General features: G+C 47.1%; 4 annotated features.

The window, feature by feature from the left end:
* Nucleotides 264-851: an enhancer, noted in NCBI's record as "NANOG hESC enhancer chr22:27231937-27232524 (GRCh37/hg19 assembly coordinates)". NCBI's record gives its function as "activates a minimal SCP1, AML or CMV promoter by ChIP-STARR-seq in naive H9 embryonic stem cells {active_cell/tissue: H9 hESC(naive)}" and the evidence as "EXISTENCE:reporter gene assay evidence [ECO:0000049][PMID:30033119]".
* Nucleotides 264-879: a biological region, named in NCBI's record as "Sharpr-MPRA regulatory region 5469".
* Nucleotides 585-879: an enhancer, noted in NCBI's record as "tiled region #5469; HepG2 Activating non-DNase unmatched - State 13:Ctcf, and K562 Activating DNase matched - State 12:CtcfO". NCBI's record gives its function as "activates a minimal TATA promoter and a strong SV40 promoter by Sharpr-MPRA in HepG2 and K562 cells {active_cell/tissue: HepG2 | K562}" and the evidence as "EXISTENCE:reporter gene assay evidence [ECO:0000049][PMID:27701403]".
* Nucleotides 10,697-10,746: an enhancer, noted in NCBI's record as "active region_18800". NCBI's record gives its function as "activates an Ori minimal core promoter by ATAC-STARR-seq in GM12878 lymphoblastoid cells {active_cell/tissue: GM12878}" and the evidence as "EXISTENCE:reporter gene assay evidence [ECO:0000049][PMID:35858748]".

The raw sequence follows: 18,096 nt of genomic DNA, 5'->3' as shown, positions 1-18,096 counted from the left end.
CTGATGCTCGATGCACTGCGAGGCTTGACAGTCAGCCAATCAGTCCACAATCAGGCCTTTTTCCAACAAAACCCAACCCTTCATTCTTGCAACAAATATTTATTGAGTTTCTACTCTGAGCCAGGCATGGTCTGGGTTCAAATATCAGTGTGAGCACTTGCCGACTGTGTGAACTTGGGAAAGATGCTTGCTGTCGCTCTATGTGCCATCTGTAAAATGGGAATGATAGGATTGTCATCAGAGATAGGAGAATTCATCCAGGTAAAGTATGTAGAAGGGTCCCCCTTGTATGACAAGCACTGCATACAGTTAGCCCCAATTATCAACAGGGATGTGAACTCTGCCCCACTGGAGCCTGCGACAGATCATTAACAAGTCCTTGAATAGACACATTTGCCTTTGTTATGATGAGTGCAATGATGGGATGAACAGAGAACTGAGGTGAATGATAACCAAGAGGGTTGTCTTAAATGGTGTAGCCAGGGAAAGCTCTCTAAGGCAGTGCCATCTAAACAGAGACCTGAAGGAACAAGGAAGCAGCCCTGGGAGGGGAGGAGGGAGCAGCTCATTCAAAGGACTAGAGAAGGAACACCAGGGTGGCCATTGTGATGGAGCCCACAATAGCCCAGGAACTGCCCCTAGAGTGCACAGAGGCAAAGCCTTGTCCAGGTGCCTGTTGCATTTAAAATTCACAGCACCCCCTGGAGGCAGGTGTGGGAATTATCCCCATTTTACAGACGAGGCAACCCTGACCCAGAATCCCTTGGAACCAGACACAGTAGAAAGCATGATGTAATTATCCAGGGGACCCAGATCCTCACCCCAATAGTGACAGTGAGTCGTGTGGACCTGGTAAAATCACCAACTTCTCTGATTCTCCTTATCTTGAAAACAGGGATGATAATGCTCCCCCCTACCCCACAGATGCTGTGACGTTCCAAGCAGACATCTAAGAGTAAAAACAGATATTTTCCACCATAGTGTGCTATTTTTGCTGTCCCTAAAAGCAGCCCACATCCCCATCTGAGTGCTAGGAATTTCCCTTAGGACCTGCTGGCAATCTGTCAACCAGGAATTTCTCTGCATCTTCTTACATTTAGAAATATATTTTTTCCTAGGGCATCTCTAATAGCCCAAGTTTCCTAGATACTACATACTGGTTGGGAAAACAGGACTGTTTGGGATTTCATCCTAAAACAATTTCCCTTGATTCCGTGGGAGGGGCTGGAAACAAGCTGGACATGCGTCTTCTTCCCTCTCCCATATCTGCAACTTACTGCCCACTCTCCAGCCTTCCATCTCTCTATCTGTCCCATCCAAGCCACTCTTGAATGGCCGTTGTCTCTAAACTGAGATCTATACTTTCTCTTCCCCAGTCCCTTTTCCAACCAGGAGGGATCTTGTCAAAACCAAACCCGATTGTGTCACTCCCTGCTTAAGACTCTTTAATGTTTTATTCCCAGAATCCAAAGCAATTCTTGATCGTGGCCTCAAAGGCGTGCATGGTCTGGGATCTGCCAGCCTCCCTTTCTGTCTACCTTCCTCTCCTACCACTGTGCACTCTTCCCAGGTCTTACACTCCCCGTGACCCTGCTGCCACAGGGCCTTTGCACTGGTTTCTTCTGCCTGGAATATTCTGGCCACATGCTTCATTACCCACTCACTTGTCCCTGATGAAGCCTTACCTCCTCCGAAACGTCTTGCCTAATCTTCTGGCTACAGAGAATGCCTGTCCCTTTCTAGCTGACTCCTTACTTGGTTTTTCTTCATAACCTGTATGAAACCCATACAAAAGAGTATGGTCTCCCTGTGTAACATCTGTCCCTCAACAGAATGCTGTCTCCATCTCTCCTAGAAGTCCCAGGGTGGGGCATGACCCCTTTCTGTCGTGAAAGCTGCTGAGGAACCCAGCTTGGGAACTGACTGGATGAGCCCCAGAGACTCAAGAGGAGACAGACCCTCTGTCCTTGACTAGGAAGCACAGCTGGCTCCAACAGGTGGAGGTAGGGGGCATTCAGGGCTGGAAAACGCTTGCTGGAAGCATCTGTGGATGCATAATCCCTACATCTGCAGACCAAGGGAAACAAGCTGTGGGGACCAAACACTTCTGTGCAAGCGAAGGAAGACAGGGCAGAGAGCAAAAGATCTGACTGGACATGTGCGGTTGAGTTTAAATCACAGCAAGGAGACGGCTGAACCTGGAGCAGAGTGAGTGAAGAGGAGATGGCAGGTGGAGTGTGCAGAACCTTGTAGTGTAGTCCTGGTAAAAACAATCAGACTTCATGCTGAGTAAGATGGAAAGCCACTGAACACACAAGTGGCCTGGTCTGATTTGCTTTGTGAAACATCACTTAGGCCAGGCACGGCAGCTCATGCCTGTAATCCCAGCACTTTGGGAGGCCGAGGCAGGCGGATCACGAGGTCAGGAGTTCGAGACCAGCCTGGCCAACATGGTGAAACCCTGTCTCTACTAAAAATACAAAAATTAGCCAGGCATGGTGGTGTGCACCTGTAATCCCAGCTACTCGAGAGGCTGAGGCAGGAGAATAGCTTGAACCCAGGAGGCGGAGGTTGCAGTGAGCTGAGATCGCACCATTGCACTCCGGCCTGGGACAGAGCGAGACTCTGTCTCACAAAAACAAACAAACAACAACAACAAACAAAAACATCACTTTGGCTGCTGGGTTTTTCCTTCTACCATTATGAGCTGTTGACACCTGCATTGTTCTACCTAGATCCGTGTGTCTCTCTGGACAGCCCCCATGGGATGATCTCCAGCTCCTTGACTTCAGCGTGCTTTATAAACTCAGTATCTTCCTTTTACCCAGAACTGCTTCTCTTCACAGGCCCCAGCTCAGCAGATGGTGCCAAACTCCACCCAGCCCCCTGAGGCCAGAAAGCATCCTTGTCATCTCCTTCTTCCAGCTCCATACCTGGTCCATCACCATGTCTTGTTAGGGAGACCTCCCAGCATCACTTACACCTTCCCACCTCTTGCCACCCTGGCTGGGCCCACTCTAGGGCCAGGCACCTTATCTTTTGCCTGAACAACCTCGGCAGCCTCCTCCATGGTCTTCCTGCCTCCATTTTTGCCCCCTTAGAATAAACTTTCCGCCAGCACCCAGAGGACTCATTCTAAAATGTAAGTTTCTGGCAGGTGCTCTGGTGGCTTGCACCTGTAATCCCAGCACTTTGGGAGGTCGAGGTAGGAGGGTTACTTGAGGATAAGAGTTTGCGAGCAGCCTGGGCAACATAGTGAGACCCTGTCTCTACAAGAAATTTAAAAATTAGCCAAGCATGGTGATGCAGGCCTGTAGTCCCAGCAATTTAGGAGACCGAGGCAGGAGGATACTTTGAGCCTGCCCTGGAGTTAGAGACTGCAGTGAGCTATGATCACACCACTACCCTCCAGCCTGGGTAACAGAGCAAACCCTGGCCCCATGGCCAACAGAAAGAAACAAAACAAAACAAAAAAAACTTGCTCTGGTGGTCCCCCAGTCCCTAACACAACAGACACATCTCTTTCTTCCCAAGCCAGAGGTGTGGCTTGAGGTGTGGATAGGTGGGTTTTATCTTTTCCTACCCAAATATGTGGTTGTGAATACTGACCCCTTGAGAACATATATACTCATTGAAACCTTCTTGAACAATTGAGCTCAGATTCAGAGCATATGCAGGACAAGTCACTCATTTGATAGATGAGAATTCTGCAGCATGGAGAGGCTTAGTGACTTGCACAAGGTCACTCAGGAAATCTGGAACCAGAACCGGGGCATGCCCTCATGCCCATATATGCTAATTCCCATGCCTCAGTGAGAGTGCAGATATACTTGTGATATTGTCCTGGCTTGATTTCTGAATCCAAACTTCCCCGGCTGTAGTAGGTTCAATAAAGGCCCCCAATACATCCACATCCAAATCTCCAAAACCTGTGAATATGTTATCTTACATGGCAAAAGGGGCTTTGCAGATGTGATTACATTAGGGATTTTGAGACAGGATATTATCCTGGGTTAGCCAGGAAAGACCAATTTGATCATGAAGATTCTTATAAAGGGAGTCGGGGGCAGGATGGACAGGGGTGCAAGTAAAAGAGAAAAGATGTGGTCAAAGAGAGCAGGGGAGTGACTGGGATATGCTACCCTGTTGGCTTTAAAGCTGAAGGAAGGGGTCATGAACCAAGGAGTGTTTCTAGAAGCTGGAAAAGGCAAGGTTCTTTTCCTGGAGCCGCCAGAAGGAATGTGGTTGGTCCTTTGGACACCTTGATCTTGAGATTTCTGACTTGCACGTAAGATGGCCCAAAGGAGCTATGTGGGTCGGAGGGAAATGGGTGGCACTCTCAAGTTAAGGTCAATGGAGGAGAGTTTATTTACAAAGGGACTCATTCCAAAGGTGTGGGTGGAATGGAGATAACCTTGGCTGGAAGCAGCTGAGCTACTTCCCCGGCTTAGGCCTGAATGAGGGGAGAGGGAGGCTACCATAACCTAGAAGGAGGGAGAGTGGGGTTAGATCACTTTGATGACCTTCAGTCAAAGGCCACAGCCAGCCCAGGAAACCAGAGGATGAACCCCTGCCCTTCCTCTCCCTCTCCTTTGATCTCCTGCTGGGGATCCTCATTGGCGGAACCCAGCCAGAGCCAGAGAGAATCTGTTGACCTGGTCCACGCATATCAGTTTCCTGGGCTCAGGGCTGGATGGTGAAGGATGGAGATCAGTCTGGAGGGCCAGATTATATCGTGCATAGAGCCTCCCCTGTCTCCAAGCTAAAATCATTCATTAGTTCCCCCTTTTGTCTACCAGTTCAGGTCCAAACTCCTCAGGACGCCCCTCTACACCTCTCTCTACCCTGGTTTCCACTCAGCTGTGCCCCAGCACCCACTCCCATCTTGCCATCAACCCATAAGTGACCACTTAGAGTCCCCCAAAGCATCAGGTCGACCATTCCACATCTCTGTGCCTTTACCCAGGCTGTGCCCACTGCCTGAAATACCCTCCCTACACCTACCACCTGGGCAAAGACCAGCAGGACACTGAGGCCCTCCAGAGCCCGGAATCAGAATCCAACAAACACGGGCTCAAATCCTGACCCTGCCGCTTTCTGGCCGGTTAACCTTGGGGAAGCCAATGCATCTGGATGAGCCTCATCTCATCACCTATAAAATGGGGAGAACGACAAAGTGCACATCATGAAGCTTCTATGAGATCCAAATGAAACAAAGCGGGTAAAGTGCTTGGCAGGTGGTCTTTTGATGAATCAGACCTTGGCAACTTTTAAGAGGCATGTCCCTGCTGATGTCATTCCTGATCTTCTGTCTTTCTAAGTATCACGATCTCGTTTTTTTCTGAGGCTTTCTAAGCCTTGTGTGGACACCTCTAGGGGTCCCTGAAATGCTTTAGTGTGTGGCTCTTTCAGTGGACCAAGTTGCAAGAGAGAAGGACTGGACAGTATTCATGTTTGTGTCCTCAGCATTCAGAGTGTGATAGGTAGACCCTCAGTGAATACTGAGTGAATGAATGAGTGGATGAATGTCAAAATCATCCTCAAATAAACCAGTCTGCCTGCCCCTCCATCTGAATAAAGGTTGATCTACTTTCCTGGTCATCTGTACAGCTAAACAGGGTGCAGGGTGACCTCTCCATGAAGCCGAGGCCAAGGTCACAGCAAATAGAAGGGGTGATAAGGGAGTCACCAGGCCTGGGTGGGGGCTGCAGGCCCCAGCTCATTGCAAATGCAGAGAGAATCCCAGTGGCAGCTCCTTCTCTGGCAGGGAGCACAGGAAAAGACAAGAAAAATGAAGCCACTGCAATCTCATTTTCTGAGGCCTGCAAGTCAGCCAGGAAATAGCTATTATTCCATCGCACTGTCGGTATTAAGTTATTTCCTTCACTAAATACGGGAATGTTCATGAATATCTATTGAGTCCCAGGTACAGACCCCTCCTGGCTCTGAGGCTCAGTCACTCTGACTTTACATTCCTGCAACAACACCCCTCAATCTTGCTCTGAAGTGAAAGACAATAGTATTTTAAATTGGTTAATAAATCTCTGGATTGATGCTTCTTGAAGGCCCGGGAACTTCCTCTCTATTACTCGAATAAAAGGGATCACATTTTAACCACTGCCAGGCCAGGAATTTGGGGGAGCAATTTGAGCCAGCTGCTCCTTCCTTTTCCTGGGGAAGGAGGGGGTTGAGGTTTCAGGATGTTGGGGCAAACAGACCCTCCTGGAAGCTGGGAAATACTCATTTTCTGGCCAATATGGGCCAATCGGACATCTCGGGTCACTTTGGTTTTGATGGCTTTACATTCAGCTAGTTTCCCTGGATTCAAATAAAAGAGACTCAGAAACAGAGCTTAAGGGGGGGAAGTGGAAGTGGGTGTCTGGTAACCTTTTAAAAAGCTCCCAGGCAAAGATAAGGATGGGTCCTGCCTGCGGGGCCACCACTTCCATGCCAGCCGCACTTAGATGGGTGTGGAGTGTCAATCACACTGGAAAATAACTCCCATGTGGGTTTGTACACCTCCTTCCTCTGTGAGCACAGGTAAACTTGGGCATGCCCCTCAGGATGCAGAAAGTTTTGAAATTAGCCAAGCATGGTGTCACACGCCTGTAGTCCCAGCTTCTTGGGAGGCTGAAGCAGGAGAATCGCTTGAACTCAGGAGGTGGAGGTTACAGTGAGCCGAGATTGCACCACTGCACTCCAGCCTGGGTGACAGAGCGAGACTCTGTCAAAAAAAAAAAAAAAAAAAAAAAAAAAAAGGCCCCGCTGATGGGAAATGTGAAGTCAGACAGAAATGCCTCCCCTTTGTAAGTTTCCTGCCACCTGCTTTATGTCCATTTCTCCATAATCCATCCTCGCACCCTAGAAGGTGGAGAATTCTGACAATTGTCCACAGGCAAGAAAATCCGTGGGTCAGAATCTCTCCTGGAAATTCTCTCCAGTATATTAAGCCAGGGTCCAGCTGCAAGCAGGATCTCAGAAAATAGTGGCAGAATTGGCTGCTGTACAACATCCCCGAATTACAGATGTGCAAACTGAGGCTCAGAAAGAGCACATGGCTTGCTCAGCATCTTGCAGGGAGCTGGCCTGTCCTTTACTCTGCCAAGACAGTTTCGGCACCCATCATGCCCAGGTGCTGACTCGGGTACTAAAGAAACCGAGATGAAGGACAAAAAGACATGGTGGCCACTTTGATGGAGCCCAACATCTCAGGAGGTGCCTGGGGGAGTCGGCTGGGGACAAAGTGAACAGAGAGAACAACAATTTCAGGTGTATCTAATCCCAGGGAAGGAAAGGAAGCAGGATGATGGGATCTGCAGAGTGATGGGATCTGCAGGGTGGGTTGTGGTGGGGCTACGGGTTAGTGGCCATCAAGAGCTGCTCCTCACTTTTCCTGCAGACCCTGGAAAGCTGAGGAGCTGACGCATGTCTCTGAGACCTGGTAAGGTTTTTGGGAGCAGGGATTATATCTGCCTTGAGACCCCAGCTCGCAGCAGACTTGGCTGGCAGCTGATGTTTCGTGTTTGGGGGAGGTGGGCGACTGGAGGGGTTTCGTTGTTATTAATAAGGCTCTGCTCAACATTTCCCTCACCCCTTTATCAGAACACCCCTCAAAACCCTGCTCTGGGTGTGGTGGATATCTCAAGCCAACAGTCTCCTAATTCCAAGGGACATTGTGACCTAAGCTAGGCCAGGCCTTGTCCCTTGCTCTATGCCCTGGCCTCTCTCTCTAACAGGTCCCTCTCACGTGCATGCCTTTGTGCACTCACTGCTTCCTCTTCTTGGACTGATTTCTCCTCCTCCCGTCACCCCTCTTGCCACCTCCCTCACCCTGTGAGCTCCCACTCAAATGTCAAGACTCAGATCAGGAGCGACCTCCTCCAGGAAGCCTTCCCTGACCTCCAGGGAGTGTGTGAGCCTCCTCTGGTCTCCCACCGCTGCCTGAGCTTCCCCAATTACAGCACTGACAGTGGATCACAATCATCCATTTCTATGTCTGTGTCTTACCCTCAGAATGGGACTGTCTCATATTCACCACCTCTGCCAGCACCTAGCATAAGACTCAACACAGAGGTGCTAGTAATACTTGTCAGTGAAACTAACTACTTCTGTTTATCCATTTCAGTAGACAGATTGAAAAAAATAAGCCCCAAGGATCTGCCCTTCCCTATCCCCATGCCCATTGCAATGTAACTTTGAAGCTCTGCCCATTGGAGGATGGAGACTTTTCATCGCCTCTAGAATCTGAGCTGCCCATATGATTTGCCTTGGGCAATAGAATGTGGCAGAAGTGACGTCAGGCCAGTTCTGCACCTAGGTCTTAACAAGCTTTCACTTTCTCTTGTAGAACCCTCCAAGCTCCCATGCAAAGCCCAGGCTAGCCTGCTGGGGGACACAAGACCTGGGGTCTAGTCACCTCCATCGCCCCTGCCAACAGCTAGTCAACCATAGAACATGCAAGTGAGGCCATCCTAGACCAGTCAGCTCTAGCCAACCCACCAGCTTGCATGAGCAGGCCCAGCTGGGATTAGGCAAGCCTGGCTCAGATCAGTAAAACCAACCAGCTGACCTATGAGCCAAAGAAAAAAATATATTGTTATATACTCTTGAGCTTACATTACTGTTTGTTATGCAGCATTAACTGTGCCAATACATAACTAATGCCTTCATTGAAGAGATCTTTCTCCCATGCATAGCACTGGGCATAGCACGTCGCCAATCCAGGTCCCTCCTGGAAACTGTCACCCAACCAAAGGAATCAGAATAGCAGGATCTCTGTGAGATAGGTCAAAGCACAAATCCTAAGGCTGTCTCTGATGGAGCACGTGGAAAGTGACCCCCAGCTGACCCAGTGACCTGTCATCACAGGTGAGGCAGAGGAGCCACGCCACAGGCGCTTCCAGAAAATCTCACAGTCTGGCAAAGGCCTTGCCCAGAATGCTGAATTCTATCTGGGGAATAAAGCCAGACACATCACTCTTTTGGACAAGCAATTTTTTTTTTTGCATAATTGACAATTCTTGGCATATTCTCCCCTTCTCTATGCACAACCTTCCTTTTATGTCACTCATGTACATACCACTCTGAGGTGACTTCCCTGAAAAGTGAACGCCAAAGAGACCTCTGGCTCCTTACCCTTAAATATTCTACTTGTTATAAATTCCCCAAGGAGTCTTCTTAGCTCCAAATATCAGGGGAATTGGAAGGGGGAGTAAGGGGGAAGAAAACACGTTCTCAGAGCAGCTCTTTGTACGTGAGATTCTTTGGTTTGTATTAAAATATTCTCATCTTCCCATAATTTATGGGCACTCCTGGAACTAAGAGGGTCCGCTTTGTCCCTGATCCTCCATTCCAGAAATAAAACTGTTAGTGTCAGAGCGAGTATCTCTGAGAGGGAGGGGGAATAGGACAGAAACTTTCAGAGCATCCAATTTGAGTGATCAGGGAAAGACTCTGCAGACTCACTTCCTGGCCCCACTTGCCAGGGAGTGAGACCCAGCACCAGGCACCTCCCCATCCATGATCTCATTTGATTTTCAGAACGGTCCTGCCAGGATAATATTCTAGTCATTATCAGGTTCCTTTCTGAGAAGAGGAACGTGAGAGTCCTAGGGATGAGATGCCTTCTTAAGAGAGCAGAGCTTGTTTAACATGGGTCTAGAGTTCAAATCCATGTGCAGATGACGCCCCAGTGCTCTCACCAGCCAAACATCCGGAGAAGGAGTGATCACAGAAGGCTACCTGGAAGTGGCAGGACTTAAACTGAGCCTCAGCGCTCAAGAGTCCCAGCTAGCTGTACTTTCTGGGGAAAGAAGTACAATCTATCTTATCCACTCAATTCCCTATAAGACCCTGAAGGGGGCAAAATTCCTGCTGCATCCAGCCCTTTTAAAAATGCATGGATCCCATTTTTCCTTAGATAAAAATCTCTGCTGCATTCTCCTGTGCCAGCTGAGTAAAATTTACTGTCCAGGGTGTGGCATTCAAGGATCTTGTTAATTTGTCTCATTCCACCTTGTTAGCTTTCCATCCCACTATGACCCCTACCTCCCACCCACACACACACACAGATTTATACTTTCAGATATTCCACGTGTTAGTCAAATAACACTTCACCTCTATATACGTAATTTCTCTTCTACATCATTCATGCTAATCCCACTACCTACAACACTCATCTCTGCCTAATGAACTCCTACTCAACCCTCAGAGCCCAAGTCAAACAGCCCTTCAGCTGGGAAGCTTTCCCTTCACTCCTTCATTGACATAGTTCATTGTACACATATCTGGTCAACTAGCACAGTACCAATTGACCCGTAGCAGCATGTTTGTCGTATAGACAGTGAACCTTAAAGATGGGAGCCCAAGTTTTTATCTCTGAATCCTCACAGCTTAGCATGGTGCCTGGCCTTTTGCCCAGAGGTCGTTATAAATGCTTGTTGGATGACTAAATGAACGAGTGAATGAATGGATAAATTTATTGTAGACTTTCAGAAGATGCCCATTGGATGAACCAAAAACTCTGTGACATCTCAGTGCTCAATAAGCACCTTTGATGGAGTGCACAGAAAATCACACTTCTCACTTGAAACCGCTTGTTTTCAGGAGAAGGATTAAAAACAGACAAACTGAAACAAGGCCTCGCAGGTGGTCCAACCCCTCAATGGCCCCATTGGAGGAAAATAGACTTGTGGCGTCTCTGAGCAGCTCTCTGGGTCTGCCTCATTCTCTCACTTGTTCCAAGCCCCAGATAAATCTTTTTTGGACAGGTGGCCCATCTCACCTAATATGAGCAGGAATTGTGGGTTGTCAGACTCAGGGCTCAGTCGAGGAGCTGAGGCTGGGAAGAGTCAGGGAATGTTTGACCAATGGCAGTCTGGGCGTCAGGCAAGGTGCATGCGTCTTTCTTCCAAGATGTCCAGGGCTGGGGAGTCTTGTGGAAATAAGATGGTTGTGCCTGGGAGGCCTCAATTCTGTCCTAACTCTGTCACTCCTTCCCTGGGGACCCCAGCTAAGCCTCCTGGCCTCTCTGGGCCTCAGCTTTCCCATCCACAAAATAGGGTGAAGGAAAAACAAGCTGCTGCTTGGTAGCATCCATCCCATAACAAGGGGAGTCTAGAGACCATTGTCAGACACAAGGAGACTGTGGTCCAGAGAGGTGAGGTGACTTGCTCAAGGCCACACAGCCCAGAAGTGCAAAGGCCGGGATGTGTTCCTGGTCTTGTGACTCCAGAACACACCAATTCCCAAGTTGCATCCGGAGCTGGAGGAACATGGCACAGACCTATGAATCTCAGCATTTACAGCGCCACGGACCCTTGGGGACCACAGCCACGTCGGGGAGCCACAGCAGGCCCATTCACTTCTTTTTTTTTTTTGGCATATTTAATGTATTTATTTATATATGTGTTTTTTTATTTCTTTAAAAATTGTTAAGTTTTATTTATTTTTAAAATCACTTCATTGAGACATGACTGACACCTAAAAACCTGCACCTGGCCTGGCACGGTGGCTCACGCCTACAATCCCAGCACTTTGGGAGGCCGAGGTGGGTGGATCCCAAGGTCAGGAGATGGAGACCATCCTGGCCAACATGGTGAAATCCCATCTCTACTAAAAATACAAAAATTAACTGGGTGTGGTGGCACATGCTTGTAATCCCAGCTACTCGGGAGGCTAAGGCAGGAAAATCACTTGGACCTGGGAGGCGGAGGTTGCAGTGAGCCGAGATCGCACCACTGCACTCCAGCCTGGTGACACAGCAACTCCATCTGAAAGAAAAAAAAAAGAGAAGAAAGAAAGAAAGAAAGAAAGAAAGAAAGAAAGAAAGAAAGAAAGAAAGAAAGAAAGAGAAAAAAGAAAGAAACCTATACCTATTTAAGGCTACAACTACATTAGTCCGGGAATAAGTATACACCAGTGAAGCCATCACCACCATCAAGGCCTTAGGTATATCCACTATCTCCCAAAATTTTCTCCTGTGTCATTTATATTATTAAGAGCATTTAGTGTAAGATCTACCCTCTGAGCAAATTTTAAGTGTACAATACAATATTATTAGCTATAGGCACTATGCTGTAGTATCTAGCTAGTACCTGTCTATAGGCACTTTGCTGTAAAATAGGTCTCCAGATAAGGGGTTAATATCCAAAATAAATAACAAATTCATGCAACTCAGTAGCAAAAAAAGACAACCCAATCACAAGGACCTGAAACAGACATTTCTCCTAAAACAACATACCAGTGGCCATCTACTTTCTTTTTTATTTTTTCCTTGCGATGGAATTTCACTCTTGTCACCCAGGCTGGAGTGCAATGGCACGATCTTGGCTCACTGCAGCCTCTGCTTCCCAGGTTCAAGCAGTTCTCCTGTCTCAGCCTCCCAAGTATCTGGGATTACAGGCACCCACCACCATGCCTGTCTAATTTTTTTTTTTTTTTTTGTATATTTAGTAGAGACATGGTTTTGCTAAGTTGGCCAGACTGGTCTAGAACTCCTGACCTCAGTGATCCACCCACCTCAGCCTTCCAAAGCGTTGGGATTACAGGCGTGAGCCACCACACCAGGCCTGGCCATCTACTTTCAACAGGCATGGTTGAAAGACTCCAGGCAGCCTCTTCCTGTGGCTTTGAGCTCAGGAGAGTGAATGGGAAGAGACAGGATTAAGGACAAAAGTTAACCACTGACCAGGCTTAGCAGTTAAGAATTGCAACGTGGCATCAGGGGCCCCGGGATTATATACTGGCTATGACATGTTGCATGCAGTATGATTCGAGGCAGTATTTCCCGTCTCTGAGCCTCAGTTTTCTCCACTGCAAAACAGGGGTAGTAATATTTCCTTCCAAGGGCTGGTATGATTCTTAATGAGACAGGTCCTGCACCACAGCCCAGAGGTGCTTCTGACACGTAAGGAGCAATGAGCTATTATAATATTACATCTTAGCTAGCAACACAGGTATAAGGTATCATAAAGAAGAAAAGGAGAAAGTGAGCAAGAGAGAATGTGAGAATGCTCTTTTGCTTTACCTTCTGAGCATATGTCCCCACTTCTAGAGCTGCACTGTCCAATACAGTAGCTGCAAGCTACAGTAAGCTACTGAGCGCTTGAAAGGTAGCTCATCTGAATGGAGCTGCGCTGTAAGTTCAAGTGTAAAATCTTTAGAATGAAAAAAAGTGAAACATCTCATTCATCACCGTTTCTATTGATTACATAATGAAATGATAATTTTGATGTATTGGTTAAATTAAATATTAACATTCATTTCACTTGTTACTTGTCAAACTTTTTTAATGAAGCTGCTTGAATTTTTTTTTTAATTTTTGTATATATAGGGAGTACAAGTTCCGATTTCTTACATACATATATTGCATAGATAGCGGTGACATCTGGACTTTTAGTGTACCCATCACCCAAATAGTGAATATTAAATAGAAAATTTAATTAACAAAAGAATTAACAACAAAAATAGAAAAGCTTAAATTACATATGTGGCTTGTATTACATTTGTGTTGGACAGCACTGCTCTAGAAAACTGAAAAAAAAAATCTACATTTAGGAGCTTGGATTCTGAGTTCAGCCACTTTTTGGCTGTGTGAACTAGTATAAGATGCTTGCCCTTTCTGAGCCTTAGTTTTCCTTATCTGTAAAATGGAGATCATTCTTTGAGAAGACATGATGAGAGCCAGATCATTATGTTTGCATCATATAGCACATATTCGATATATATGAGCCTCTTTTCTCTTTCATGGCCAGTTACCTGCTGTGTCCTGGGACAACTCCTGCCCCAGCTGGAGGCTCAGAAGGGATTCCCTGGCTGAGGCATTCAAGCTCTTCTAGCTGGGATCCCTGGGATCTCCAGGGGACACAAGCCTCAGGGAGGATCTTAGATAAATCCCTAGAACTGTGGCTGCAGCCTCTCAGCCTGGTTCCTGGAGCGAGAGGAGGCATTCTCAGATATGGTCAATTGCAAAATATGAATCAAGGTTCTTCCCAACCCTGTGTGTGCACCCTGACTGGACCCCCAGCTTTTGAGGACTCCCTGTGTCTCCTGCCCGGTGTTCACCCCTTTATCATAAAGCTACAGAAATAAGGAAGCAGCAGGAGAGGGGCGAGAGACAAACCTAGCCCTGCCCTTCCCTCCCTGGTTTCCACTCCTGTTTTTCTGCAGGCTGCAGGGCTCTGGACAGGTGAGGACACCCTGCTGGGAGAACTTTCCCTTCCCCATCGTAGCTTGGTTTTCAGGGTTGCCTTCTCTGGCTGGTGAGAAGCCAGGCATTTAATTGAATAGAACCATACAAGGTGGTTGCTATCTTTGCATCCCTGAGAGCTGAGGACACCTGCTGTCCATCCTGCCATGGAGATGAGGCCACTGAATGTTCCCAGGCAGGATGGAGGTTTGAGACTGTCTAGTAGACAGACTCTCCTACACTTTCAAATAGGAGGCAAAAGGGTTGTCGTACCCCCAGGATGGACCTTCCAGGGAGTAGGGATATTGTGACAGAGCCCCAATTACTCTTTATCTCTAGTTTCCCACTGAAAACATCTGCACCTGTTTCCTCCTAACCTAGAACAAGTTGTGGGGTCCTGGTCCCAGCCCTTCACCCAACTTGCTGTGTGCCCTGTGCAATCCTGAGAAAGTCTGTCCCTCTGATTCTTCTCTCTGGGATTCAGTAATATTTAAAAAACACTTCATGGTACTTGAGATAGAGTCAGGGATTTGAATGAGGTAAGCACTAACATTTGCCAGTTGTTAACTTTGTGTAAGTGGCTACATACACCTCCCCAAGCCTCAGTGTTCCTATCTGAGAGATGGGTATATTAATAGTATCTTCCTTACAATGTGGTTTAAATGTAAACGGTTTTGGGGTTTTTTTTTGTGTGTGGGTGGGGGAGGCGGGGATGGAGTCTTGCCGTGTCACCCAGGCTGGAGTGCGATGGCACTATCTCAGCTCACTGCAGCCTCCATCTCCTGCGTCCAAGTGATTCTCCTGCCTCAGCCTCCCAAGTAGCTGGGATTACAAGCACCCGCCACCACACCTGGCTAATTTTTTGTATTTTTTAATAGAGACAGGGTTTCACCATGTTGGTCAGGCTGGTCTCAAACTCCTGACTTCAGGTGATCTGCCCACCTCGGCCTCCCAGAGTGCTGGGATTACAGGCATGAGCCACTGCTCCCAGCCAAATGGTATTTTTTAATAAAGCACTCAACACAGTATCTGACACTCAGCAAATGTTCATTAAATGGTTATTGTCAGTGGTATGCTAGTAAAACGGCTCTCAGGAGTGGGGAGGAGTACTGATTTGTAGCACTAGCCCATTTCTGTGGTGTAAGTACTTCCGCTATAACTTATTTCAACCCAATAGCATAACTTGCTTACAAAACTCCTGAATATTTAACAAAGGACCGGTAGTCAGCTCCAGCACCTTAAGGCCAGTTATTATTGTTGCTAATATTGATGCTATTCAACCAAGCATCTTCGTGTGTTTATTTGTTCCTTTTTGTTTTTCCCTTACGTGGCAAACCTACATAGGATCTCACTTCAACATTAGATTTTGCAAATTAAAACTAGTTTGAAAGCCATCAAAGCAAATGATCGGGTAAGATCTCTTATAGCTCTAAATAACTTCCCAGGGGTTCTACACCCAAGCGCTCCCCTCTTAGAGACAGTGACCTAGACTCCCTGCCAGCCACAGAACCCTGCCCCATGCCCTTTTCCCTCATAGCCCTTCACTGGACAAATGAAAAAATGCACCCCAAAAGAGGGGCACGAAGGACTAAGAAACAGAATTTTCCCCTGATGCATTCTAGCTGCGTAGGCTCTGACAAGTAACCCAGCTCCTCTGAGCTTGTTTCCTCATCTGACTCAGAGAGCTGCCATGAGGGATTGATGAGAAAATTTGCATAAAAGCCCATCACCAAGTAATGCCCAGTAAAAACAGCTATTATTTAAAATACTACTAATAATACAACCACCAAGTCTGGGGCCCCTGCTCCCTGACGGAAAGTCTATGGGGGCCCCCAGTCCTCCTATAAGTTCTGCGAATAGCAGCACAGAGCTGGACCCAGGATCTGAGCACCCCCATCTCCCACTCCCCCTATCCCCAGCCATTTCTCTTCCACCCTCATTGTTCCAGGACTAATTTATTTATTTCCGTCTGAATCCTCAAAGTCTATCAAGCTGTGGAGTAGTTGGATGGATTTTTTAATTAATTGAAGCAGAATCGATGAAAAAGTGATTGTTTTGGCCCTGGCTGGGGGGGGAGCCCAGAGTGGGAAATAAATGGATGGCTTTGTTGTGGGGGGGTTGCCTTATCGAGCCGTGGTTTGGCTATGGGTAGTGAGACCAGGGAGGCCCAGCATGTGCCCTGGGCAGCAGGATGGAGAAGTGAAAAGTGACCAGCACACTCCCACTCCTCAGAGTCCAGGAGATCGGAGTTCAGGCCACCCCACCCCTCTTACCAGCTGTGTGGCCCTGGACCAGTCAACCTTGGTACTTCTCTGAGCCTCTGTTGCCTTGGGGGATTGCTGTGAGGATTAAACTCTGAAACCTACTACAAGATGAATAAATGTTGAAGACATAGTGCTAAGGGGAAGATGCTGGACACCAAAGCACAGATATTGATGACTCTACCTATAGGAGGTACCTAGGATAGGCAAATTCACAGAGACAGAAAGTGGAATAGGGCAATGATCCCCAACCTTTTTGGCACCAGTGACTGGTGGGGGGCGGGGGGTGGGGCAGAAAGCTTTCAGGATGAAACTGTTGCACCTCAGATCATCAGGCATTAGATTCTCATAAGGAATGCACAACCTAGTTCCCTCACATGAGCAGTTCACAATAGGGCTGGTGCTTCTATGAGAATCTAATGCCACCACTGATCTAACAGGAGGCAAAGTTCAGGCAGTAATGCTCACTCACCTGCCGCTCCCCTCCTGCTGTGCAATCCAGTTCCTCACAGGCCACCAACCAGTAGCCATCCTTGGCCTGGGGGTTGGGGACCCCTGGAGTAGAGGGTACCAGAGGCTATGGACTTATCATTTTAAAAGGGACAGAGTTTCTGTCTGCGATGATTCAATATTCTGGAAATGGATAGTGGTGATGTTTGCATGACATTGTGAATGCCCCTAATGCCGTTGAACTGTATGCCTAAAAATGGTTAAAATGGTACATTTTGTCTTGCATATATTTTACCACAACAATAAATAAATAAATAAGGTGTGCTATGTGTTTAGCACTGCCTGGCTCCTAGTAGGTGCTCACTAAATATGCATATATTATTATCATTATTATTATTACTATTATTTTTAAAATTACTGGGGTGAAGTGTCTCAGATGTGATAGACTACAAAATATGACCAAAAATTCTTTCCAACCTATATGCACTCCTCTTTGCAATGTGACTTGGTGACTCCTTTCCTCAAAAGGTAGGTTCTCAGCACTCCCATTATTGGGTGTCTACCCAAAGGAAAATAGATCATCATACTGAAAAGACACATGCATTTGTATGCTCATTACCATGCTGTTCATAATAGCAAGGCATCAAATCAACCCAACTGCCTGTCGACAGTGGAATGGATAAAGAAAATGTGGCACATATACACCAGGAATACTACGCAGCCATAAAGAGAATGAAATCATGTCCTTTGCAGCAACATGGATGCAGCTGGAGGCCGTTATTCTAAGCTAAACATCAAGTACTCATGGACTAAAGATGACAACAATAAACACTAGGGACTACTGAGGGGAGGGAGTGAAGGGGAAAGAACTGAAAAACTACCTATTGGGTACCATGCTCGCTCCCTGGGTGCAATATACCTATGGAACAAACTTGCACATGTGCTCCCTGTATCTAAAATAAAAGCTAAAAGATTTTTTACAGGAAGGGTGGAGTCTTGTTTCCTTGCCCCTTGAATGTGGGCTTGGCCAGTGACTTGCTTTGGCCAATGTTTCCCATGGCTGCTGTAACAAATGGCTACAAACTTAGTGGCTGAAAACAACACAAATGTGTTCTTATTTCCGAAGCTCAGAAGTTCAAAATGAGTCTAAGGGCTAGAGTCAAGGTGTCATCAGACTTCTCCTTCTGGAGGTTCTGG

The sequence above is a fragment of the Homo sapiens genome, chromosome 22 (genome assembly GCF_000001405.40).
Source record: "Homo sapiens chromosome 22, GRCh38.p14 Primary Assembly".
Taxonomy (NCBI): Eukaryota; Metazoa; Chordata; class Mammalia; order Primates; family Hominidae; genus Homo; species Homo sapiens.
Note: the sequence above shows the minus strand (reverse complement) of the source record. Positions and strands in the feature narration are given on the sequence as shown.